Consider the following 25,092-nt stretch of genomic DNA (forward strand, 5'->3'; position numbering starts at 1 on the left):
TTCTACACATAAAGCACTTCAATAATAATAATAAATAAAAAAATTTAAAAAATAAAAAACACATGGCAACATGGTAATACCAACAGAAAGTCTTGTAGAAACTGGGGTTCTGGCAGACAGAGGAGCACATGAATAAGTCTCCACTATTCACATGATGGTCCAGGGGTCTCCTTCTTTTGCTTTCTATCCCCATCCCCATCATTGTTGGCATGGGCCACACACTGTATAACGCAGACATGAACACAGACGTTTTCTTTTTCTTAGACGCTGACTTACGTAGAAAGAGTTAGTCTTCACCCACTGTGAGGGTCCAATCCCTGCCAAGGTCTTTCTTCAGCTTGGTAAGTGATGATGTCTGACTCCCTGGGGCTGGGATGCTAAGCCTGTGCTTTTCAGAAGATTTTTCCAGCACATAAATATATCCTGGTTGCTGCATGGAAAGGGGACTAAGTAGCCAGGTCATCAGAGCCCTTTGCTAATGTTATACGCTGAGCTCATGCTTTTCCTATGACATAGATGAGCACTGGGTAGACCCCGTCCTGGTAACACTTTTCATGCACTAACAAGTTGGTTGCCAGTGAGACTTGATTTTTATGACTCTGGGAGTGCTGACCTCAAAACCTAATACATTTGAACTAGGAGAGCAATCCCTCCAACAATTTCAAACTACACATACTTACATCACATCCAATAGGGCTCTTTTGCCATCTGGCTTGAGCCCCTCTATAAATATGTCTACTTTGAAAGTCACAAGCCTGGGCGGGGTGGCTCACACCTGTAATCCCAGCACTTTGGGAGGTGGAGGCAGGCAGACCACGAGGTCAGGAGATGGAAAACATCCTGGCTAACATGGTGAAACCCCATCTCTACTAAAAATACAAAAAATTAGCTGGGCGTGGTGGCACATGCCTGTAGTCCCAGCTACTCAGGAGGCTGAGGCAGGAGAATCGCTTGAACCTGGGGGACAGAGGTTGCAGTGAGCCGAGATCATGCCACTGCACTCTGGCCTGGGCGAAAGAGCAAGACTCTGTCTCAAAAAAAAAAAAAAAAGTCACAAATACTCTTTAAAAGTGTGCAGAGTCATTCATATCCAAACCATCAAGGCCTGCCCAACAGCCTGGTGACTTGAAATCTTGACGTGTACACAGAGTCTAAACCTCGGTCTTTAGATTGCCTCCTTACTGGACCTCTTTACTTATTAAGATTCATCCTTGTGGAGGAAGTGAGGTCATGGATGTTCACATCTATCTTTCCCAGGAAGAAAAGGAAGCTTCAAGAGCTGGGAAATGCTATGCACCACTGTGCAGGTTCTGAGCAGCACAGAGCCACCTGTGGGGTGGGCGGGTAGGTGAGTAGTGGACATCTGACCACCAGGCGCTGTGCAGGACTACCTCCTTGCAGAGCAGGTGGGGCCTTCCAAGTTGCCTACTCATCCAACCTGCACAGTAAGCCTTATGGGAGCGTCATGGGGCTACGCCTACTTCAAAGAGCAACTTAGCTAAAGGGAAAGAGAATTTGCACTTGCTCTCTTCCACTCTAGCAGACTTGCACTTGTCGCTATTTATTTGTGAACACAGACTCATTTTAGATTGACTTAAAAATAAAAAAAAGTGCAAAGAACAGGGCAGCTGGAAGTTGGGAAACCACTTCTGCCACTGCTGAATCTGAAGCCTTAAGCTCCTGAACTGGAAAACCAGCCGACTGGAGCACTGAGCTCCCTGGGCCCTGTAAAAGAGCACACTGGCCAGGCATGGTGGCTCGTGCCTGTAATCCCAGCACTTTTGGAGGCCAAGACGGGCAGATCACGAGGTCAGGAGTTCGAGACCAGCCTGGCCAACATGGTGAAACTCTGTCTCTACTAAAAATACAAATATTAGCCAGGTGTGGTGGCGTGTGCCTGTAATCCCAGCTACTCGGTAGGCCGAGGCTGGAGAATAGCTTGAACCTGGGAGGTGGAGGTTGCAGTGAGCTGAGGTTGCGCCACTGCACTCCAGCCTGGGTGACAGAGTGAGACTCTGGCTCAAAAAAAAAAAAAAAAAAAAGAATGCACCAAGTAGTGGCCAGTCAGGCTCCCATGGGCCTTGACACGTGAGATGTCAGGCAGAATTTTTATTAATGAATCTGATGCCAATTCAGTATTTCTGCAATCACAATGCACTTTCGCAATATTTATCCAAGCAATATTTATCCAACAAAAATATCCAATATTTATTTATCCAGGATCTCGCAAACGTTCAGTCTAGTTTCACTCACGTCAGTGTCTCTAACCTTCATACTTTGCTTTCAAGCAAGAGTCGTGTGTTGGTCTGGGTGTCCGAAGGTGGGGGTGGTAGCTGGTGATGCAAGGAACCAAAAATTGGCCATACTTACTTACTTAAATATTTCACAGCTCTTTAACAGATTCTCATCTCCTGCTCTCTTCTCTTCTCCAACCTTGCCGTCTGGTTCTGACACTGTCCTGCCACGATTAGGAGTGAGCTTTTTGGGGTTCCCTCAAACATTCACTCCCAGCTGGTCTCTTTGTTACCTACTCAAGAGCAGTTCATACTGTTGGCCACTCTCCCCTTTTTTAACCCTCTTTTCTTTGGCTTCCATATTCCTGCTATTCCTCCTATTTGGTTGACAATTCCATCCCCCATCTCTTTATGCCCTCCTTTTTCTCTCCTCATTCTCTAAATGTCAGCTTTCCTCTGTGCACTCTCCTGGGCCACTTCTCTACTAGGCTATCATTTCTTCCAAGCCATCACTCAGGAGCCACTCCAATGGCCTCAGCGCTGCCAGGAAGCGCAGCGCATTTAATTTGAAGGGTGAAACTGCCTTGGAGGGATGGCAGGTGCATGCTTAATAACTTGTTTCCCAAGGCCACATAAGTGTCATTACTGGATGATAATTATCAGCTCAAGAGGGAAAGTTCTAAGACAGAGAATGCAAGATTTCTAAACAGGTCTAAGACAGTTTTCCAATGTAAGATTTATTATGTAACAGTTTTGAAAGTAGTGTCTGATTCCCTGTCTATATCCTCCAGAACAATCTGAGGGCATGGTTGCCATTACAATTTACTTTGGGGGACGATTTTATAGCACGTCTTCACAGACAACACGACAAACATCTTTGCTTCTGCTACACTGACAACCTGAAGTTAACATTTCTGTACCTATGTAGCCATTTTAATCACCCCCTAAACTGGTTATTCCACAGCCCAGGGGTGTGGGACTGAGTCAGATGGGCTAGAGATACCTTTATTCAGAGGATTTAGAAGTTTGCCTCAGAGAAAGGCCATTTCTAGTCTCCACTAGAAATCACACATATCTTCCAGGAATAAGAATATTCTCTTAGTCATAAGTTCAACAAATATGTACTGAACACCTTTTCTACTTAGAAACTTGTCTAGCTGCTTCTAGATTACATCCATGACCCAAAACCACAAAGACACCTATCTGCATAAGGCTTGTATTCTAGCACTACAAGCCACAGATAATTTTTGAAAATCAATTAATCAACCAATAATTGATAGGGTAAATTTATAACCTTGTTTTTCAAGCCTGATCTCAGGGTTAGAAGGTGGTAAGTGATAAGTATGAAGAAACAGAAGGCAGAACTAGAGACTCAGGAAAAGAGAGGTAAACTGCTGCTTTTCATTTAGAGTGGCCAGGGTGGTCCTGAGAAAACGCGAAGGAGGGGAGGGTGTGAGCCCCCATGCATTCATGAAGAATAGGCCTTCCAGCCTTGGCAACAGCTAGAACAAGGCCAGAGTGGACTGCGGGGGCTGCACGAGGAACAATGGGACCAAGAACAGCCAGGGAGGAGGGGTTACTGGAAAGGAGCGAAAGAAAGAACCAGGAGGTGAACCAGGAAAGGCTGGGGGTGGTAGAGCCTTGCAGGCCATGGCAGGAACCTGGGTGTTGACTCAGAGAGAAGTGGAGTCTCTCTAGCCGTCTTGGCTAAAAGCCCGGGAATTGTCTTCTTCTGTGTTGCACTAATATTTTCCATCTCATAAGGGTTCTGCAAAGAAAATTCTTTCTATCTTTAAAGTTTTATTATTTTCAAAACTAAATGTGATGAGAATGCATATATTGCATATGCCATGTGTACACCAAAAGCCACACCTAATAAAATGTTACAGCCATCCTTTGTCCCACATGCAACGGGAACTTCCATTCATCATCACATGCAGAAACTCTGGGAACTGAGAATCTGTACTTTTCATTCAGAGTCTGCAAGGGGTCACGGCCATTTTGAAAGGCTTTGACTCACACAGGAAATACCTCACTGAGGCTCCCACCCACCCATCCACTAATAGGGCAGCCTTTAGGGAAACTGACTTGTGGCAACTGAAAGGAATAACGGCACCAAAGTATTCCCCTGCCCTGAAATCTCTGTTTACCTGTGGACCGGTGATGGGTGTGAGGCTGTAGGTTTTAACGAGCTCTGAATGGCAAATGGCAGACAATGGTGTCACTTCCTTTCTGCTTAGGAAGGAGACGTTTGGAAAAACTGTTCACTGCTGTGCTTGCCTATGGAGAACCTGGATTCCCAGAGCTCTATCTGGTAGAACGTGTCTCCATATTAATAAGCAGTGAATCCTCTTTTGCGGCTGAATTTTCCTCAAGGAAGCAGCATGGGCCTTATTACTGCCTTAAAACCCAATTTCAATATTCGATACATAGTCTGTGTATTCATTTGCTAGGGTTGCCAAGACAATGTACCACGGACTGAGGGGCTTAAGCAACAGACATTTATTCTCTCATGGCTCTGGAAGCTGGAAGTCAGAGAGCAAAGTAGCAGCGGGGTTGATTCCTCCTGAGGACTCCCTCCTTAGCTTGTGGATGGTCATCTTCTCCCTGTCTCTTCATATCATCCTCCCTCTATGCATGCCTGTTTCTGAGTCCAAATTACCTCTTTTTATAAGGACATCAGTCCCACTGAATTAAGGACCACCCTAAGGGCCTCATTTTAATTGGATTACCTCTGTAAAGGCCCTACCTCCAAATAAGGTCCCACTCTGAGGTCCTGGGGGTTAGGACTTCAACATAACTCAGGGAACACTATTCAACCCATACCATCCTCCAGGAAGGCAGAGAATGTGTCCCTCTTCTTCACTGCTGTATCTCCCTGCCTAGCACAGTGCCAGGTACCACACTATGCTCTGTAGGTCAGTGATTCTCCGGAGCTCTGTAGGTCAGTCATTCTCAAAGTGTTGTCCAGGAACCCCCTGGGGTCCCCAGACCCCTCTAAGGGCAGGCATAAGCAGATCTGAGAATCCAGCTGCCTCCAATTAGCCCAGACATTAAAGAGATTGCAAAAAATGCAAAACAATGCCACTTCTCATTAACATTTTCTTGGAAAATAGAGTTACTTTTCATAAAAATATCTCATTTGTGTTAACATGCAATGAGTTTATTTATTTATTTTTATTTTTTGAGATGAAGTTTCACTCTTGTCACCCAGGCTGGAATGCAATGGTGTGATCTCGGCTCACTGCAACCTCCGCCTCCTGGGTTCAAGTGATTCTCCTGCCTCAGCCTCCTGAATAGCTGGGATTACAGGCGTGTCCCACCATGCCTGGCTAATTTTTTTTTCTTTTTCTTTTTCTTTTTTGAGACGGAGTCTCGCCCTGTTGCCCAGGCTGGAATGCAGTGGCGCGATCTTGGCTCACTGCAAACTCTGCCTCCTGGGTTCATGCCTTCTCCTGCCTCAGCCTCCTGAGTAGCTGGGACTACAGGTACCCGCCACCACGCCTGGCTAATTTTTTTGTATTTTTAGTAGAAACAGGGTTTCATGATATTGGCTAGGCTGGTCTTGAACTCCTGACCTCAGGTGATCTGCCTGCTTTGGCCTCCCAAAGTGCTGGGATTACAGTCATGAGCCACTGCACCTGGCCTTGTTATTGTTATTTTTAAATGAATTTATAAGTAAATGTTTCAAAATTTCTGTTTTTGTTTCTACCAATAGATATAATGCATATACACAATTTTTTTTTAAGAATCCTCAACCAATCTTAAGAACGTAAAGGGGTCCTGAGACCAAAAGATTAAGAATCACTGCCGTCGAGGTTTTAAGCTTGGCTAGGACACAGTCTGTACTTACTGAAGTAACCCACAGTATGACAGTAATAAGACACTTTATGAAGAACATATTTTCAGTAGCTAAGTGTCATAGAAAAGGAAGCTTGTTAGCCATTTCCTCAAGTTGACAACAGAGAGTCCTTAGGAAAATAATTTTTTAAAGCCAATATTGAGCCTTCCAAGACTGCACATGGTGATATGTTAAATTTGGAATTTATGCAACTTAAAAAACTGAGAGTCGGGGGTTGGCATTTTTGTGCATCCTAACTGACGAGTGCTGCCCCAGGGCTCTCTAACACTGCACACAGTCTACTAAAGAAGCAGGCTGCCCATCATGACCCCCACCCATCAGCTACACAGCACACATCTGCTTCTAGATGAACCTTCTTGCAAGTGGCCTGTCTTATGGCAAAATCAAGGGGCAGGCCTGTAAAGCGGACCAGGAAATGAGCAGCAACTGCATACCACCAACCTGTTGCCAAGCTAACTGTGCTTTTCTGGATCAGAGGCAGCTTGAGACACTGGTCCCTGGGGCTGAGGGACTGCAGAGCCCGGGCACAGACTCCCTGCCTATCTCCCAGTGTGTCCATCTTGGTACACCTGGTGCATCTCTGGATTGGCAAGTGGCACTCCCCAATTAATGTTAAGGGCCACTTGTTTTAAATATAACCAGATTATTTTAATTTTTAAATGTGTATCCCATACTTGGACACTGAAAGGTCCTCCCTGTTTACCTGCTTGCTGGGGTCTGTGCTTGGGTGTCTCATTTTATTATAAAACAGAGTCTCAAAGGCATTTAATACTAAGATCAAGTGGCTGGGCATCCATCATGTGCAGAGCAGGAGCCTGATGGTGGTGAAGGCTCATTCTGCATGTGGTTGACTCTAGGAACTACTTTAACAGAGGGGAAGAAATACACTGGGAGAAAGGAGCAGGAGATTCGTCAGGGCTGGGGGAATACTGGCTCCATGAGGGCAGAGACTTTTTTCTATTTTTTCTCTTTTTCAGAGCCTGTAAGTGTCCACATATCATGCACATGCAGTGCGTATTTGTTGCATGAGCTCCTGGTATGCAGGTGCCAAATGTCATGCTAAGTGTGTCGACTGGATGACAGAAGAAGGAAGGAGGGATTAAAGGAACTGGTGTGCACTGGCCTGAGCCTTGAAGAATGGGGTGTACTGGGTAAATCAAAATGGTGGGGAGCATTTCCAGATGGAGAAACTGCAAGGAAAAGCATAGAAGTGGGGCCACCCCTCGTGAGCTGGGGAGGGCCCAGGGTATGTGTGCTGGTTGGGGGGAAGCTGAAACTGAGGAAATTCCCATTGGATCCATAGCCTGGTTCTGGTTTCCACAGGCCTGGGATGCCCCGTCCAGAGTTTGACTTTCAGTCTGCACGTAATCCAGGCTTTGTATTCCCACTTCCCGTATCCCCTCACTCCTTTTTCACACACCCTTTTTATCTATGATGCTACTGGGGTCATGGGTTAAGAAGTCCTGTCGTCTAAGCAGCAAGGGTGCATCAAAGCAGGATTTTCTCCATTGATTCCAAGGTGTGATTCAGAAATGGTAAAAACTCCGAACACTAGGATGAGCACTGGGGATGGGTTCATGTTTTTTTTTTATGAAATAATTCAGAACTTATTAAGAATTCCCTTGGCAAACCAAATTAAATATTAAACAACTATTTGTTAATATGTTACTATTGGATTCTATCTTAGAAAAGTGTAATTATGTGTAACTGAACTTTTTGTTTTCTTGTGGTTGAACCCTGAATTACCATGCCTTCTGGTTTCCGTGTTTTTCCTGGGGAATAGGTCATATTTCTTACTTCCAAAGCCCAGAAATAAAAGCCTCACACATCCATCCGTAGTCCCAAAGGCTTTTCTGCCTAGTACCCAGAGAGTAACAGCAGTGCTTCAAACTATTTGTGGACAAGAAGTCCTAAAACATCAGACACACTGTGGAAAGCAATTTCATTTCATTAATACAATTCATAATTAACTGCATTTATTTTATTGTCTAAATTCCAACTGCTAACCTATCATATCGACGAATTCTTTGAAGTTGCCTTTATTCTACAGGATATGTTCATTTTTAGATAATGCTATTTTTCATATACTTTAAGTTCTGGGGTACATGTGCAGAACATGCAGGTTTGTTACATAGTTATATACGTGCCATGGTAGTTTGCTGCACCCATCAACCCATCATCTACATTAGGTATTTCTCCTAATGCTATCCCTCACCTACCCTCCTACCCCCCGAGAGGCCCTGGTGTGTGATGTTCCCCTCCTTGTGTCCATGTATTCTCTTGATCATCTCCCACTTATTAGTGAGAACATGTGGTGTTTGGTTTTCTGTTCCTGTGTTAGTTTGCTGAGAATGATGGTTTCCAGCATCATCCATGTCCCTGCAAAGGACATGAACTCATCCTTTTTTATGGCTGCATGGTATTCCATGGTGTATATGTGCCACATTTTCTTTATCCAGTCTATTGTTGATGAGCATTTGAGTTGGTTCTGGGTTCATGTTTTAAAATCTCAATTTGCTCCCTAGTCCTAGGAATGATCTTCTCCACCTCCAAGGAATGCAAGCCCCAGTGCAACATGGATTCTTCCTCTGTAAGAGGCTAGACTCCAAATAATTTGTCCTGTTTTTGCCTGTGGGATGTTACAAGTGTACCCTGCTGTCTGTAATTGTGTTTCTGAAGTGTTCTATGTAAGTAGGTTTTTGTTAGTTGAATTGTACTTTAAATGTGCCAATCAAGTTCCCCATGAAAAGAGATGGGCACAGAGACTTTTTGAAAAATTAAGCATCCCAAGAGAAAAGCCGATCTGAAAAGACTACATATTATATGATTCCAATTATATGACATTCTGGAAAAGGCAAGACTACAGAGATACTGAAAGATCAGTGTTTGCCAAAGATTAGAGGGAGGGAGGGGTGAACAGGTGGAGCACTGAGGGTTTTTAGGGCAGTGAAACTATTCCGTATAATCCTATAATGTTGGATACATGTAAATATACATTTGTCCAAACCCACAGAATGTCCAGCACCACAAATGAACGCTAATGTAAACTACAGGCACTGGGTGATAATGACCTGTCAATATAGGTTCATCAACTGTAGCAAATGCACTCCGATGGGGAATGTTGATAATGTGGGCAAGGCTACGCAAGTGTAGGGGCAGCAGGTGTATGGAAATCACTCTATCTTCCTCTCGGGTTTGCTGCGTACTAAAATTGCTCTGAGAAATAAAGTCTATTTTTTAAAAAATGAAGTATTCCAATTAATTTATAAGTTTTGCCACACGTGCAATGACGGCCCTAACCACTTTACTTTGGTTCTCCGATACTGAATATGTCACTGTGAATATCTCATCCTCCTTGATCCCATCCCCATCAAAACTAGAGATTGAAATAAGGAGATGAGATGGCCCTCCCTGACCGCCTTGTGCCTTTCAGAGGAGGTGCCTGGGCTGGAATGGGGAGGAGCTAAGGACTCCTGTGGGATTCTGATGCTGGGTGTGAAACTGTCTGCAGTTAGCACGGTGTTGGAGAGATGAGTGCTAGACTTTGTATTTCTGGGGACTAGTGATAAATGCTCATTATTATTTATATAATTTTAAAGCTACGTTTAAATTTGTCCCCAGTACTAGAGACTTTAATGTTATATTGAAATAATACATAATAGGCTGCAAATAGTTATATTCTTGTCTTGTTGTTGTCCATGTATCAGCATTCTTGTATGAATGAAACTAGAACCAAGAAGAAAATCCATCACTACAATAATGGTCCATACATTAAAACAGTTTAGGCTGTCTGATGGTCTGGGGTGTGTGTGTGTGTGTGTGTGTGTGTGTGTGTGATATAGATATGTATGATATATATGATGTATATATGATTTATATATATATAAATCATCTCATCTTGCTCAAAACAATATCACTCTTATTTAGGTAGGCACACTGGAATATGATTTTAATTAATTGAAAAGTACAGTTTGTTTCACATTTGCAGGAGTGGTTTAATTCCTACACAGTGTACTAAGATGGCCTCTCGTGGGCTCATGATCCTGGAAGATATACTCCCAAAGTGAGGGGGGGTCTATGTTGGAAGCAAAAATAAAAGGAATTTAAAGAATGACAGGTCTGGGAAATTATTCTTATGGATGGTCAGTTCTTCATATGATAAAATAGTTATGACAAACCAAACAGGCACAGTCTCATGTATGCACTGATTTGCATGAACCAACTTTACAGATAATTGATTCAGTTGGTTGGAACTACAGTTTCTTCCAAATGTGGACAACTTACAACAGGGTGGGAGCCCCAAACTGTGAAGTCATGTGAGGTCATATACAAACTGAAAAACAGGGTTTCTCTACTGGAATGATAATCCTACCATGTTACACTTTTCCCCAAAATGAAATCCAACATCTTTCACCTGGCGTAAGAAGCCCAACATGTTCTGGCCCCTAGAAACCCTTACATCCTGCAAAGAGGGACTAGAGCTTGTTACTCTTATTAGCTACTCTTAAAGTCACAGAGGTAGTTAATTTGGCAAGGAGTGGCTACAAATTCAAGACATGTTTGGATGTGCTGAGAATCAGAATCCAATCTCGGCCCTCAAGTCATGGGTTAAAGACTTGGTTTTTTATCTATATGAGGTCCTACCTTGTAGTTCAAGCAGAAACATCCAACAAATGAAAGCAGAAACAACATTTGACAGCTCAAATTCAAAAGCAAGAGGCTTGTCAATGCAAAAGTCTTGTGCTGCAAATGTTTCAAGGGAAGTATCCATACTCTGAAGTGTGCAATTGAAAGAATGACCTGATATTCTTGCACTGTTGCCTCAAACAAACCTCCCTCCTCCTAGCTAGCTCCGGATCTTTTATGCATCATATAGTACATCTTCCCAAAAAAGCAGGTGGAAACCAAAGTGTGCAAAAACACACATTTTCCAAGAACAAATGCATTATACTAGCAAGTTATGTGTGGTGGGGCTAGGTGCTTCTGCGGGTGTGGAGGAGGAGGAGAGAAAGAAGGGTCAGGAGGAAGTGTGTTGGGTACAGAGACATGGAAATAAGAAACAGGAACCCTGAAAGACACACCCGCGGAGGTTCTGTAACTGTACATGTGCTCTTGTTAAATCGCCAGTTTCAGAGGACTCAGATCTGAGGCCATATAGAAATCTATTAATTTGCATCTTGACTTTGGGGCTTCCAGTAACAGTAAGTATTTGTATTTCAGGATCCACTCAGCAGAAAGGCCATACATATTCAAGTCACATAATAAATTGGTGAATTCCAAGTGAATTGTGAATACCAAAAAAGAAAACTGATTATGTGACTTTCTGGAATATGATGTAGAAATTGACCTAACAAAATGTATATGCACACTTACGGCATGTGTGCATGAGGGTGTCATTTATGTACACAGGTCATGTGCACATCCAACTCATGGCCATGCATGCTGTAGCCTGTTACCCATTCTGGGAGATATGTAAGCCTTTGTCTTTCTCCCTCCAGCTTCCTGCCTTCTTAAAACATTTCACTGGTCATCAACCAATGATTGAAGCTGGGTGCAGAAAAGGAGAAAAGGTGAAAACTCCTCTTAGTCCACAAGGTGACGTGTTAGTGCTTCAAGTGAAAGGGCTGTGGTGGAGAGCCAGAGAAAGCCCTTAGGTGGAATGAGACTGTGGTTCCTATAGGTCGGCACCTTCCTCCCCACCCGGCAGGTCAGCTCATCAATTGCACTTATCTCCCAGCTGCCACAGCCTGTCTCACTCCTTTCTCTCTCCTGTTGGGCTGCTACCAGGCCTGGTAAACTATTCCGTAGCTCTGTGCAATAGAAAATAGATATGTATTTCTCTGAATATAGAGAGGGAAATTGGAGTTCACATGGAATGCATACTGTAAACTTATTTGTTTTCTGAAAGCAAAAATTAAACTTGAAAGGAGCAAAGCTTTTCAAATTTCCCATAGTGCTGGCCTCAAATCCTAAAGATTTTTTTCCTTGACAAGAATCATGGGATGAATTGGAAGATCTGGATGCTCCATTCACCACAGTTGATGATGCTAAAACCCATGTGACAGCAGAGGAAAGAATTGAACATTCTAAAGTCCCCTCTGGCAACTGGAATGCCAGGGGAGCCTTCACCATATACCTCATCAAGCCACCCCAACAAACCTGCCATGTCGGTGAAAAGACCATGCTCACTATGAAAATGTGGCTTCTGCCGGGTGCGGTGGCTCACGCCTGTAATCCCAGCACTTTGGGAGGCCGAGGCAGGCGGATCACGAGGTCAGGAGATCGAGACTATCTTGGCTAACACGGTGAAACCCTGTCTCCACTAAAAATACAAAAAATTAGCCGGGCGTGGTGGTGGGCGCCTGTAGTCCCAGCTACTAGGGAGGCTGAGGTAGGAGAATAGCGTGAACCCGGGAGGCGGAGCTTGCAGTGAACCAAGATCGCGCCACTGCACTCCAGCCTGGGAGACAGCCAGACTCTGTCTCAAAAAAAAAAAAAAAAAAAGAAAAAAAAAAAAGAAAATGTGGCTTCAAGACCAGAACTCTAGCCCTTTGTCCAAAAAAAAACCATAGCCCCCGAGACCCCTGATGGCCTTGACATGCCACTGGGGGTCCCCTTATCTATTTACATTATAGAAGGGCTTCTAAGAAGAATGGTTTCAGTCAGAGAATCCAAGCAACTTATGCTAAAGTCCAGCCTCATCCTCAGAACTCTGGGCATGCTTGTTTTTAATGCCATGTCTATCCATCTGTGACTCATTAACGCACTTAGCAAACACTGAGTGACTGACTAGTCTATCTCTCCCCGTGATAAAATTTAAACGCCTCTTACAAGACATGAGTAGTCTACCTACCTGTTACTTGTATGCCATTACCTGAAAAATTCCCATCTGTTTGGATGCAAACTTCACAGAAACTCTGCCACAAATGCTCACGAACACCATCACATGGGCTGGGCTCTAGTGCTTTGGAATATCCTACTTTCTTAGAAAAATCGATGAGTACATATAAATATAATTAGCTGCACCTTGATTCCTGCGGAATCATTGTATTAACTGCTTTGGGCTATTCTCCTTCTTTCCTTTCAGGCAATATTAATTTGTAACAAACACATTTTATGATATAATAAATTATCTTTCATTTTTTACTATCAAATACATGGAGAAGTAAAAAAACAAAAAACCCAGAACTTCTAGGCAGCTCTTAAACAAGTCTTGCTGTTACTTGGAAAAGTAACAAATTCACAGGTTTATTGTCTATGTTAATAAAGCTGTGTTGGAGTAGTCATTATAACCTTTTACATTCCCTCCTGTTTACAGCTCACAGAATATGTTTACACATGTGATCTCATTCAGTTGTAACATGATCTGCATAAATTATGGGTATTAACACTTGCCATATTTATTACAACGATTTCCCCAGCAATTTGTCTTCTTAATTGTATAATCTATATTGCAAACAGATGTCTGCAGTTTGTATATGCAGCTATGTACTCCTATGGTTTATGCATCTACCTCAGGCCATTAAACTGTAAGCTCCTGGAGGGCAGGGATGTATCTGATTCATTTCTGTATCTCCGGAACCCACTGCACAGCTGCTGAATGGATACACATCTAGTTACTTAACCTCTGTGTCCTTCAGTTTCCTCATCTGTGAAATGGCTATAATGATTGCAGGAACCTGTCTTCTCTGTCCCAATTGTATTAAGCAAAACACTTAATACAATGTCTAGCATATAATAAGCACTCTATGAGTGTTTTCTATTATTATTATTATTATTATTATTGTTATAATTATCTGGAGTTAATTGAATTAAAGTTCAAAAAGATGACCTAACTCATTTGGGGGAAGGTGATGAATAAACGGCAGAAAGAAAGGAATATCAGGGATCTTATATGCTGATCCTAGCTTTGTCTAATCTGCCAAGCTAAGTCGTAAGATTTTTCTCTTTTCAAAATACTTCTGTTAAGCTAGTAAAAATTATTTACTTGTAAAGATTCCATGTGCTGCTTTTTCTGTCATAATTGCATTTACCTTACCAAATACATATTGACCATCTACACAGTGGATAGCAGAGGGGCCACAGAAATGAGTAAAGTCTAGTTCACTCTGCACTGGTATCTCTTTTCTTCCATATTTACATTTTATAATTACATTTGTCAAACTGCTTCACAGGCGAAGTCCTGGACCAGGAACCAAATAAAATTGACCCAGCTTTCCGACCATGGAAAACTAAAAGTATAATCAACTTTGGCACCATTAAATTCTGTTTCATTTATTTTTTCCAAGAGTCTATTAACATTGTCATACAGAAGTAGAAGATTTAATTGAGTGTGTGCATTTTGAGTTGAAAGCAGATACTAACAAGAAAAGCTAACCTGGAAGACATCTTGTAAACTGTTTCATCAGACTGGACCAGGAGCCAGGGGAGGGTCGAGGTGACTCAGGGCTGTTGGCAAAGCTGCAGAAATTGCCACTGGGTTTCTCTGTCCTCTAGGCAACCTAGGCTGCATTGGCTCTCTGGCCTATTATTCATTACGGTTTAGTTCACCACAGAGGTTGCCAGTGAGCAGTGCATAAGATTAGAGATTTTGTAAAAACATGTTAATTTGTATGAAGACGAAAATTGGACTATGGAGTTTAGTGATAAAAATAGATAAACAGTTCTGTCATTTGATTTAAATATTAAAATAAGACAAGACAAAGCTTTTAAGGAAATGACCACTTCTTGGTTCTCAACTAGAGGCAATGCCTCTTCTGTCCTGAGCAGATGGGTGTTTGGGAATACGTGGGGTGACTTGGGTTGCTGTGATAATGCAGGGGTTCTCTGGCAATCAGAGGGAGAGGGAGGGGCACCTTCAAACTGTGGTCCAGATCTACACAATCAGGAAAGGCTGTTCACCTAAAATTCAACCTTCTGTTGAGAAGAGCAACACTTACGGAGCTCATCAAAGAACGACAAACCACTGGAACAGTTCTTGAGACCAAAGTCTCATTCACTCTGGGACATATCCAGTTACATAAATCATTTATGTTTTATCCCGTCTCTACTTTCCCAAGAAACCCTGCCACACATTCATAGTGAATATCAAACCTAATTAAAGATCCTAAGCAGCTGAGAAAATTACTCAATGACCAAACTATAATTAGTCTTCTACAAGGGAGAAAATGTATTCAAATCATTGCTTAATTTTGTTTCATTTCCTCTTACCTGCACTTGACCATTAAGATCAAAAGTCTGAGAATTTGTGGCCAAAAAAAATGAACATGAGTCAAAGTCACATCTATTTGTTAATAATGGAAAGTAATTCCTTTTCTAATTACACGTGAAAATACTAGTATCCAACAAACCTATTTGTGGAAAATACGGTTTAGATTGGGAAGGTTAATTACTTTCAGGTTTTTCAATGTCCAAAACACACCTCAGAACTAACAGGCTCAGACAAGATCTTTATGAGATCACTGGATCCTCCCTCCAAAAGCTTCCCCCTCCCCTGTTGATCTCTATTCCATATGCTGCTTCATTTGATCGTATAGCGTGTATGATGAGCCTGAATGCGGGCATTTGTTGATTTGAGTATTACCTGAAACAAAAGATACACCAGAATGTAAAACCCAGGAGGGCAGAGACTGTTTTCCCAGAACCTAGAACAACTCCTGGCACATACCAGATGTAAAATCATTGTAGAAAGAAAGAAAGAAAGAATGAAAGAAAGGAAGGAAGGAAGGAAGGCATGAAACGGTGCACTATTATTGTATGCCACCTTAAGTCACTCATAGAAAATACTGCATGCCAGCACTCTATGCAATGGGTGTTACACTAGCCATTATGTAAAGTCAATGACGGGATTATACGCTGGGCACTTTATAATTTAATAAACACCCTTCAATTACCGTCTCATTTGCTCCTCCATGCCACTCCACATAGTATACGGGACATATTTTAGGATCACCAGTTTAGAGATAAAGACAGAGGTTGTGTCCCCAAAGTTTGCTTGCGAGTGTGGTATTTGTAACTTCTAAAACTCTAACTCTCCCCTGAAAACACGTCCTAAGAGTGGTGAGGCTCCCACGTGAGGTGGCAATATTGGTTACCCCCGCTGAGCTCATCACATTGCGCAGGCCTCCACAGGGCAGCTACACTCTACGATAAGGAACATGAAGCCCTGAGAGTCAGGAGGGAGAAAAAAGAAAATGAACGTTTGGAAAAGGGCATTCCCAAATCACAGGAGAAGGGGAAGAAACGTGTCTCAGCTACTAAGTTTCTCTTTTCCATGACGCTCAAAGCAGAAAATGGCTGCACGTGGGCAATTCGTGCGCTTGGAGCTCAGACCTGCAGTCTTGTCGTTTGTCTGCCCTGTCTTGGTGCATGCTGGGCCTGACTTTTTTATTTTTCCATTTCAAGGAGCCCCAGCAGGGCCTGGAGGAAATGAGTTTTGCAGCCCATCTCGGCCCTTGAGCTTGGCTCCTCGGCTGACCTCGGCTCCCCGCCTGCAGACCCGGCATGAGGCAGGCAGCAGGCACTGCGGGGCAGAACTTCCGGGACCTGCAAGACCAGTCCGCTGCCTTCTGAGACGTAGTTCTGAGGTGTAGCAAGTTTTCATTTTCACAGCATAAAACCGTCTACAAATACATACTTCAAAATGAAATGGAGGATGCGCTCAAAAAAAAAAAAAAAAAAAAGGCTTAGAGACACGTCAAAAGGGCACAGGAGCTCAGCCAGGTCAAATAAATTCCCAAATTTGACTCACATCACTTCAGCCTCATCTGGATATTACCCACACTCTGCCTAGGCAGGCGAAGCTTCCGTGGGATCCTCTGTCTTTAGTGAATTCTTTCCTTTATCTTGTCCAGCTTTTCATTGCTCTTTCAGAAACTGAGCCCATGGTTTTAAATCTTAATATGACCTTGCATTCAATTATATATATACATATATATATATATACAAAGCTGTTTTTTAAAGACAATTTTAAATAAGAAAAAAATAATTATTTTAGATACCAGAGAGTGGTGAAATAATAATGATTCAAACTTAATCCTCACTTCACGTAGGGGAAATTGACTCAAATCTGGGAGCATCAAAAATTAAGATGCATTTACAAATCCTAGGAGAAGATATCCTTTGTAATCTCAGAGAAAATAATTGAGAGAGGGAAAATTTTTTTTGAAAGACGTGGTTTGGACATATTACTATTTTGTGAAATGAAGTTAAATGTATGGTACAGATATTAAAGTTCACTTAAGTTTTATCTATATAAAGTGTGTGATTTTGGATCTAAACAGGCATAAATATATATATGTGTGTGTGTGTGTATGTGTACATGTTTGCGTACGTATGCATGTGTATGTGTACATGTTTGCGTATGTATGCATGTGTATGTGTGAGCGTATGTGTGTGTAAGTGTTGTATATGTGTGTATGTGTGTGTATATGTATGTGTGTATATAATAGGAAGTAAGTTGGAAAACATGAGCCAACTGACTTTTTTTTCCTTAGACAGCTAAAGAAGAGTGGTTAGAAGTTTACTCACAAGTAAATCTTTTAAGGAGCGTTTACTTCCCAGAAACAGCAATGAGATCTTGGAGGGGCAATTCTTGTCAACTGTGCATCATCAATGGAGTTTAACTGTGAGAGGTAAAACCCATTGTTGGTCCCGACTCCACCAACCCAAATGGTCATATCTGAGGACTTCCTGTGGTTCTCCCGCCCCCACCCTCTCCACGGCATTTACTGCTCCTGTATACCCTGGACTTCTCGACAGGAAATGGCAAATTCCTCAGTAGGAAAGCCAAGAAGTGGGAGGTCACATGGAGACTGGAAGTTCATTGCGTGCAGCCCCTCCAGGTGACAGGCGACACCGCCTCTGCATGTTGAGTGCCTTTGTGACACATGATCTCCTTGTCTCATGACCACAGGCAGCAGGGTCCTGATGAGTGCCCTGGAGAGAACTGTCCTCCCACCCCTGGGTGACACAGAGTCTCAGAAGCCAGCAGAGGTGCTGCACCAAAGGCTCAGACTTTCACCCTGCCTCTCTTCTCCTCAACTCTTTGCCCTAAAAAACATGTGCTTTGAGGGTGTGTTGAAAATCTCACTAAGTCAAATGATGCCTGTGGGGCAGAAATAACCCTTGCTCTGAAAGGGTCACCAAAAAGTCATGAGACTCCTACCTGTATGGAAGGTGGTGACTATATAGCCCTTGTATAAACAAACAAATACGGTGAAAGACTTGGCTCCATTTTTTTTTTTTTGTCTGTTCGTTATTTTTTGGAGAAAACGTTGTGATAAGAAGCCTTTAGCCTACAAAAATGTCTCTAGATTAATGATAATTTATCTCACTTTTCTCAGTGAAACAGATGAATCAAAGAAAGTGAAGCATCGTAGACAATATAGGACCTTCCTGATAACATCTAACATTTAATAACGTGATCACAGCGTGGCGGCTCTAAAAGACATGCACATGTGAATTAATGCATCTAACCTGCACACTAGCTACCATTATGCCCATTTTAAAGATGAGGAAAACTGAGACTCCAAAAATTAAATAAGTTGCCTAGAGCATCTTGCCAGTTAATGCACCAGAATTCTAAGCCAGCTGCCTGGTTCCAAAGCGCATGCCCATAAACGCGGAACATAATGCACCAAATGGCCTAGAACTGAAACGACTGCAAAAATAAGTCAACATATGAGAAACTAGAGAATATATAAAGCCAGCCCCACCATAATCAGTGGCAAGGGATGGGAGATGGGAAGAAGGGAGAAGGGAAGGGAAGCTAAATAATTTCAGTTTTTCTCTGTGCCTTTAATTCCTGTCCCCTGAAGATGACACGCTCATTTTAGTAGCAACCCATGACCAAGATGCATTCCCCAAGCTTTTCGCACCTGACAGAAAGGGACTCGGTGTCCAGGACTGTGCCCGATTACAATCAAAGCAGATGGACCCTTCCTTAGGGTAGGGCTGTTCTTCTGACAGCCTCCTCTGTGAAACTAGATTATAAGAGGATGTGCTGCTCTCAGACACCCTCTGCCTGTCCCCGCCTTGGGGTCCTTGCCTTTGCCATTCCCCTGGTCCGCATCACTCCTCCGAGGCATTTGCAAACCTTGTTCTCACCTTTTCTTTGGGTCTCTGTCTGACAGGCCTTGCCTGATCATGTTCTCTAAACTAGAGGTCCCGCCCCCCGGCCACCTGGCTCTATCATGTTCCCTACCTTCCCTCCTAAGGCTCCTGACTTCCTGCCACACTCTGTCTTCGTTGAGCTGTGATCTATTTGTCAGTCTCCCCCATCTGCATCCCCCTGATTGACAGCACTGAGTGAGCCCAGCTGTCCTGCTGCTCATGCCCCTCAGCACCCATGAGCCTAGTGGGTGCCCAGTAAATCCTTAGTGAGTAAATGAATGAGTCAATTTCCACACACCAAATCCCAAAGGGATAAAAAGACATTGCCTTTCTGCCATTTCTTGGAAGAATTTTTTGAGACAAACTAAAGAAAGGAAGCTACTTGTTATTAAATTTTTAAAAATCTGCCTACTATTTTCAGGCAAATATGTCATGATGACATCTATGAAATCTCTGAAATTAAAGAGAAGCCTGACGTTTCACAGGAATTAAATGAAGTTGCTGCATCACAGGTGCTCCCTGCCACAGGGCTCCGTGTGGCAGCAGCAAACAGAACTCCTCGCTGCTTAGGTGTAGTCCTTAGGAATGAAAATCTGAACGTAGTACGTTAAAAAAAAAAATCTTCAAAAGCAAACAAAGCCCTAAGTGTCGCTGTGTATTATCAGGGCAGGGTCCTCCTCAGAGAGAGGCGGGCTGCAATCGCCCCTACACCTTTCACCAAGTGCCTCGCTTCAGGGGTCCCATTGTCTCCACGTTTAGGTTTAGGAGCCTGGCTCTTCGTAACACCAGCGAAACATGTTCTCCTAAAGATGTTCCCTGAGATACAACACCACTCCGCATTGTTTCACCACATACCAGCATTAATATCCCAGAGTAATCCACCCTCCTCTTAACGGCTGATGACGGCTCCAATGGCCATGCAAAAATCAGTTGAAGGAAAGGGAAGTCTTGTCGGAAATGAGATTAGTCTTGTAACGAGTGTTCAGCCCTGATAACCCATCTGGGCACAGAACTGCTTAAACTGGAGAGCAATTAACCTTCACCCGACAAGCTCTGTCCAACCGTTATAAACATTAAAGAGACAGAATCCTTCCCCCCTCCTTGTAGACTAAACAACCAGATTTGAAATTCCACGTAAACGGCCTCTTTCTGCAGATGTGCACCAACAACAACGTTTAGGGGGAAAAGGTGGGCAATGGCTCTGTTCATAACTCTGGTAACTTTTGGCCTTGGTGTGAGTGGGCTGAGGTTATTAGCGTAAAAATTAACTGGAGGTATTTCCAATAAAATCACCAGGTTTAGGGGACTGGACATAGTTGCTTTCATGCAGAAACCCATGTGTCCTATAGGAACACAACTTGATGCTTGAGAGATTCTTTTTTCTTTTCTTTCTTTCCTTTTTTTTTTTTTTTTTTTTTTTGAGACAGAGTCTCACTCTGTCGCCCAGGCTGGATTGCACTGGTGCGCTCATGGCTCACTGCAACCTTGACCTCCCCAGGCTCAGGTAATCCTCCTACCTCCACCTCCCAAGTAGCTGGGACCGCAGGCGAAGGCCACCATGCCCCACTAATTTTTCTGTTTTTTGTAGAGACAAGGTTTCACCATGTTGGCTAGGTTGGTCTCGCTCAAGCGATCCACCCACCTTGGCCTCCCAAAATGTTGGGATGACAGGCGTGAGTCACTGCGCCTGGACTTCTTTTTTCAACAGTAGAAATATTTGCACTGGGCTAGACTCTCACTCACTCCCAATTCCTCTCTTCCGACATTTGCATGAGTGATGCTGCTTGTGGTCACAGAAGGGAGATTTTTTTTTTAATCTCCGAGAAGTTATTGGTTTTCATGGGGAGCAAACCTGTGATCTTGCCTTTATCAGCATTTGCCGTAACCAGTCGAGTTAACCAAGTTGGGCCATGTGAAATACCGAGTGGTTAGAGAATCTACCAGGAAACCTACTGTTAAAAATAACTTTCACAACACTGAAGAGAAATAGCTGAGGTCACTTAATTTATCACTCAGGCATGAGCTTTCTTTAGCATCAGTTCATGCTGAGCCATTGGCTTGTTTATGGACATGATACTAACAATAAATAGGTAAAGGGTAAGGGCCCTATGACATAGAGCTGGCTACAAACCAATGTGGGGTACACAATATGCCTAGCATTTAAACAAGAAAAAAATGTAAAGTACATGCAGAAAGTCATATGAGGGAACCAAACCTCTATGTTACTGACCTGTTAATGTGACTGCAACTCAGATTTTTTTAAATAGAAAGAAAAAAGGAAAACATATATTTAGCATGTCCTAAACAAATTTATCTCCCCAAGGTTTTAGTGCAATCTTCATGATGACCTGAGATAGCTATCAAAATAGTCCATCCTAACATTCGATCTTATCTCTCCCTTGAACCCAGTTTCTCTTTTTCCAGTAGGTAAGTCATAATACTCCAGGCCTCAGAGACGTGTTTGCACACAACGAGGCTGAGCCTATCTCACTTATAAGGATGACATATCTCACTCATGCTGGACTCCAGACCGGCCCCAATAACAGTTTTGGAGAGTGGCATGGTAGAGGATGTGTGTTACATGGGAAGTACTACTGTACCCTGGGACAAGATATCCTGGCAACAGGTCTTGTTTTCATGGTTTGCATTTACATGCTTAACTGTTCCTTTTCCTGCCTTTGTAAGACTAAGAAAATCCTTACTGTACAGAGAAGGAACTGTGAAAATAGAGCAAGTGGGACTGACTCTCACATTGCAGGGATATGCACCATCTCCATTTTTGCAGCCAAATTAGATGCAAGCCCAGGATTCCACTGGCCTGGTTCTCCCAGGAACACTGGGAGTTTCTTGGTGTCTTAGCTTGAGGTGAGGTGAAGATGGGCTATGGGCACGTGAGCTGACCAGTTTTTCATCCTGTGTGCATTGGACGTAGACAAGGGCACACACAGACATGACAAGAATCCATGACCTAGCTCCTAATGTAAATCTTCTTTCCCAAGACAATCTTGCAGAGCCCTCATGGTCAGTGATAAGAGGAACTTCAATTTTTATTTGGAATCTGACCCATTTCATAAGAATGAGTAACACCTGAATATTTAGGTGCAGATATCAAAGACAGAAGACAAAAAGAAATCATAGTGTTTGACAATAATATTAGTATAGGATGCCGTTTTATGAGTTCAGTCTTAGGACTGTGTAGGTGCAACGTGAAGACTTTCCTGAAGACAGCCACATGAATCATTTTTCATAGGATGTAATCACCACTGTCATCCATTAGTCCAGGCTTGACACATAGAATGGGGGTGACTGGCTGCCTAAGTAACAAACTCCCCACGTGTGCTTCTGACGAACTGTGTGGGCTGCCCTAAGCTTTTGCATGTCTCGACACTTACCAAGTAAAATGATGAGATAAGGAAAACCACAACATCATACTCAGTATCTTGTGAAACTGAAATGGTTGCAGAGTAAACACTTTGCCTTACAGTGATTTTATTTTGACTATTATGCTGGATTTAACAATATAATGGTTAATATCCATGCTATAAAGTTTTATTTTTTCATCAACAAAACTAATTGCATTGGCACTTTCAAAATGTTGTTTGCACATAAATGATTTATACTTAAGTATGAGTGTAACAATCTTGCCATCAGGACCTGGTCTGTTGGGAGATATCAGTGAATGGAGCCTGGCTCTTCCAATGGGCAACCGTTGTTTGTTGGTGAAGCTGCCACCCTTGAGACCTGCCTGGTCTCCTTCCCACCTGTAGCTGGCTAAGTAGTGTCTCCCCACAATTCACGTCCACCTGGAACCTCAGAATATGACCTTATTTAGAAGTAGGATCTTTGCAGATGTAATTAATGATTAAAATGAGATCATAGATTAGGGTAGGTTCTAAATCCAGTGAGAGCATCCTCATAAGAGGCTGAGCAGGACACACAGAAACATAAAGAAGAAGGTCGTGGGATGACAAAAGCAGAGACGGAAGGGATGCATCTACAGCAGTCTCCCCTTATCCACGGGGGACACACTACAAGACCCCCAGGGGATGTCTGAAACCTCAGACAGGACTGAACCCAACTGCCATTAACTGGAACACTTTCTGTTCCATCCACAAATGCAATACCTTTTCCATCTTAACTAAGCACTTACTATCCACTGTGGTCATCAGTTTTGCAGTTTGAGGTGCAACGGCAAAACAAGCACAGATTTCTTTTTATTTCTTCAAACTTCAAAGACAGAAGATTCATTCTTACTGTACATCTTAGCAACCACAGCATATGATCTTTTTCCTTGTAAGTACAGAACTTTCACCTTTTCACTGAAAGAAAGCACTTTACGGCTTCTCTTTAACATACCCGGAATTGCCAGGATCAGTCCTCTTGTGCCTTGGGGCTACTACTGAATAAAAGAAGGGCTACCTACACATAAGCACTGTGATACCGTGACAGTCGATCCCATAACCAAGAGGGCTACTCGGTGACTAACAGGCAGGTAGCATCTGTAGCATGGATACGGTGGACAAAAGGGGAATTCATGTCCTGGGTGGAGCAGGGCAGGATGGTACAAGACTTCATCATGCTACTTAGCATGGTGAACAATTTAAGACGTATGATTCATTTATTTCTAGAAATGGCCATCTAATATCTTCAGACAGCAGATGAAACTGCCAGAAACCATGGAAAGTGGAATCGCGGATAAGAGAGGACTACTGTCCAAGCCAAGGAACACAGGGCTTGCAGGCAACCCCCGGAGCTGGAGGAGGCACCAGATGCATCCTTCCTCACAGCCTCCAGAAGGGACCAACCCAGCCAACACCTCGATTTTGGATTTCTGGACTCCCAAGCTATAACAGAATAAATTTCTCTTGCTTTAAGCCACTAGGTTGTAATAATTTGTCACAGCTATCCTGAGAAACTGGTAACAGTACTTGTGGATGCTGTTTTTAACAAAAATTTTGCCACTTTAGGGCACTATATGGCCTTTTTTTTTTTTTTTTTTTTTTTGCCTTATAGAGTTAGGTCAATTTCCAAAAGTGCTGGAGTTTATGCCAAGAATTAAGTGACTCCCTGGTTGCAGTGGCCAAATAGCCTGAAATTTTCAAAGTAATACTAATTTTGCAAAACTTTTCATGTAAACTCCTTTGCCTGACCATGCCCTAATTTTTGTGATTAGGAAAATCTGGCTCTTATCCCACTGGAGGAAAAGTGTCTAGTTCATATTCTAATGGAAATCATCACTTGGGAGGTGTTTTGACAAACATCTCTCAGTTTTGTTTAAAAATTATGTTAGAAATTAAGAAAAATAACGAATGGAAAACAAAATCTAATTTTTGGTATATTTTCCTGCTAACATTTGTGGGCAAATTAGTTAAATTATGATTGTTTCATGCATACTTACTCCTCCAACAGCATCCTAGCTCTCTTAGGAGTTCCTTTTAATTATCCTAAAAACAGTTAAGAGTATACTGAGCCAAAATATAATTAGGTTGAGAAACAATGAACTCCTAAATGACCAATCAAGTTTTTTCCAACATTTTAATTCTCAAATAAAGGTCATTTCCTTTTATTTGACTCCTTAAAAACTAGATTATAGTTCTTCTAGGAGAGGAACCAAGTCAGATTTCTTTTAATCACATACATTGCCAAATGCATGCTTTACTCAGGGAAAGATTTCAATATGCATCATTTATTCATGCATTCATTCATTCAGGAAACAGAGTAGCACTTTACATGCGGACGCTGTGGAAACAATGGTGATATGAATTCTTAAATGATTAAAGAAACAGTCCACTAAAAATCTTATCAAGATAATAGAATACTTCAGATTTTATGAAAGATTACATTTTCATTGGCCTATATATAATGTTTTAACCAGTAAGGCTC

At 42.6% G+C, this 25,092-nt stretch overlaps 1 protein-coding gene across 10 annotated transcripts in view, besides 4 other annotated features; it reads right to left on the reverse strand.

The window, feature by feature from the left end:
• Positions 1-25,092, reverse strand: part of ERG (ETS transcription factor ERG) — a 294,523-nt gene that overhangs the window by 89,141 nt on the left and 180,290 nt on the right. The window contains exons 4-5 of one of the 10 annotated variants that reach the window (NR_111949.2): positions 17,626-17,720; positions 14,374-15,679 (exon numbers count right to left, since the gene is read on the reverse strand). The exons of the other annotated variants lie outside the window; for them this stretch is intronic. The gene's annotated coding sequence lies outside the window, so the exon portion shown is untranslated. Of the gene's footprint in view, positions 1-14,373; positions 15,680-17,625; positions 17,721-25,092 lie in introns of those variants that run through there. 10 annotated transcript variants of the gene reach the window in all.
• Positions 1-25,092: part of a mitotic recombination region, noted in NCBI's record as "ERG recombination sub-region recombines with the TMPRSS2 recombination region. This represents the genomic range from 26 different ERG genomic breakpoints.", that runs on past both edges of the window. NCBI's record gives the evidence for it as "EXISTENCE:nucleotide sequencing assay evidence [ECO:0000219][PMID:23447416]".
• Positions 20,045-20,339: an enhancer, noted in NCBI's record as "tiled region #14119; K562 Activating DNase unmatched - State 8:EnhW". NCBI's record gives its function as "activates a minimal TATA promoter and a strong SV40 promoter by Sharpr-MPRA in K562 cells {active_cell/tissue: K562}" and the evidence as "EXISTENCE:reporter gene assay evidence [ECO:0000049][PMID:27701403]".
• Positions 20,045-20,339: a silencer, noted in NCBI's record as "tiled region #14119; HepG2 Repressive non-DNase unmatched - State 21:Repr". NCBI's record gives its function as "weakly represses a minimal TATA promoter and a strong SV40 promoter by Sharpr-MPRA in HepG2 cells {active_cell/tissue: HepG2}" and the evidence as "EXISTENCE:reporter gene assay evidence [ECO:0000049][PMID:27701403]".
• Positions 22,350-22,351: a mitotic recombination region, noted in NCBI's record as "case 17 ERG recombination sub-region, recombines with the case 17 TMPRSS2 recombination sub-region". NCBI's record gives the evidence for it as "EXISTENCE:nucleotide sequencing assay evidence [ECO:0000219][PMID:20601956, PMID:19363497]".

This window comes from Homo sapiens, chromosome 21, assembly GCF_000001405.40.
Source record: "Homo sapiens chromosome 21, GRCh38.p14 Primary Assembly".
Lineage (NCBI taxonomy): Eukaryota > Metazoa > Chordata > Mammalia > Primates > Hominidae > Homo > Homo sapiens.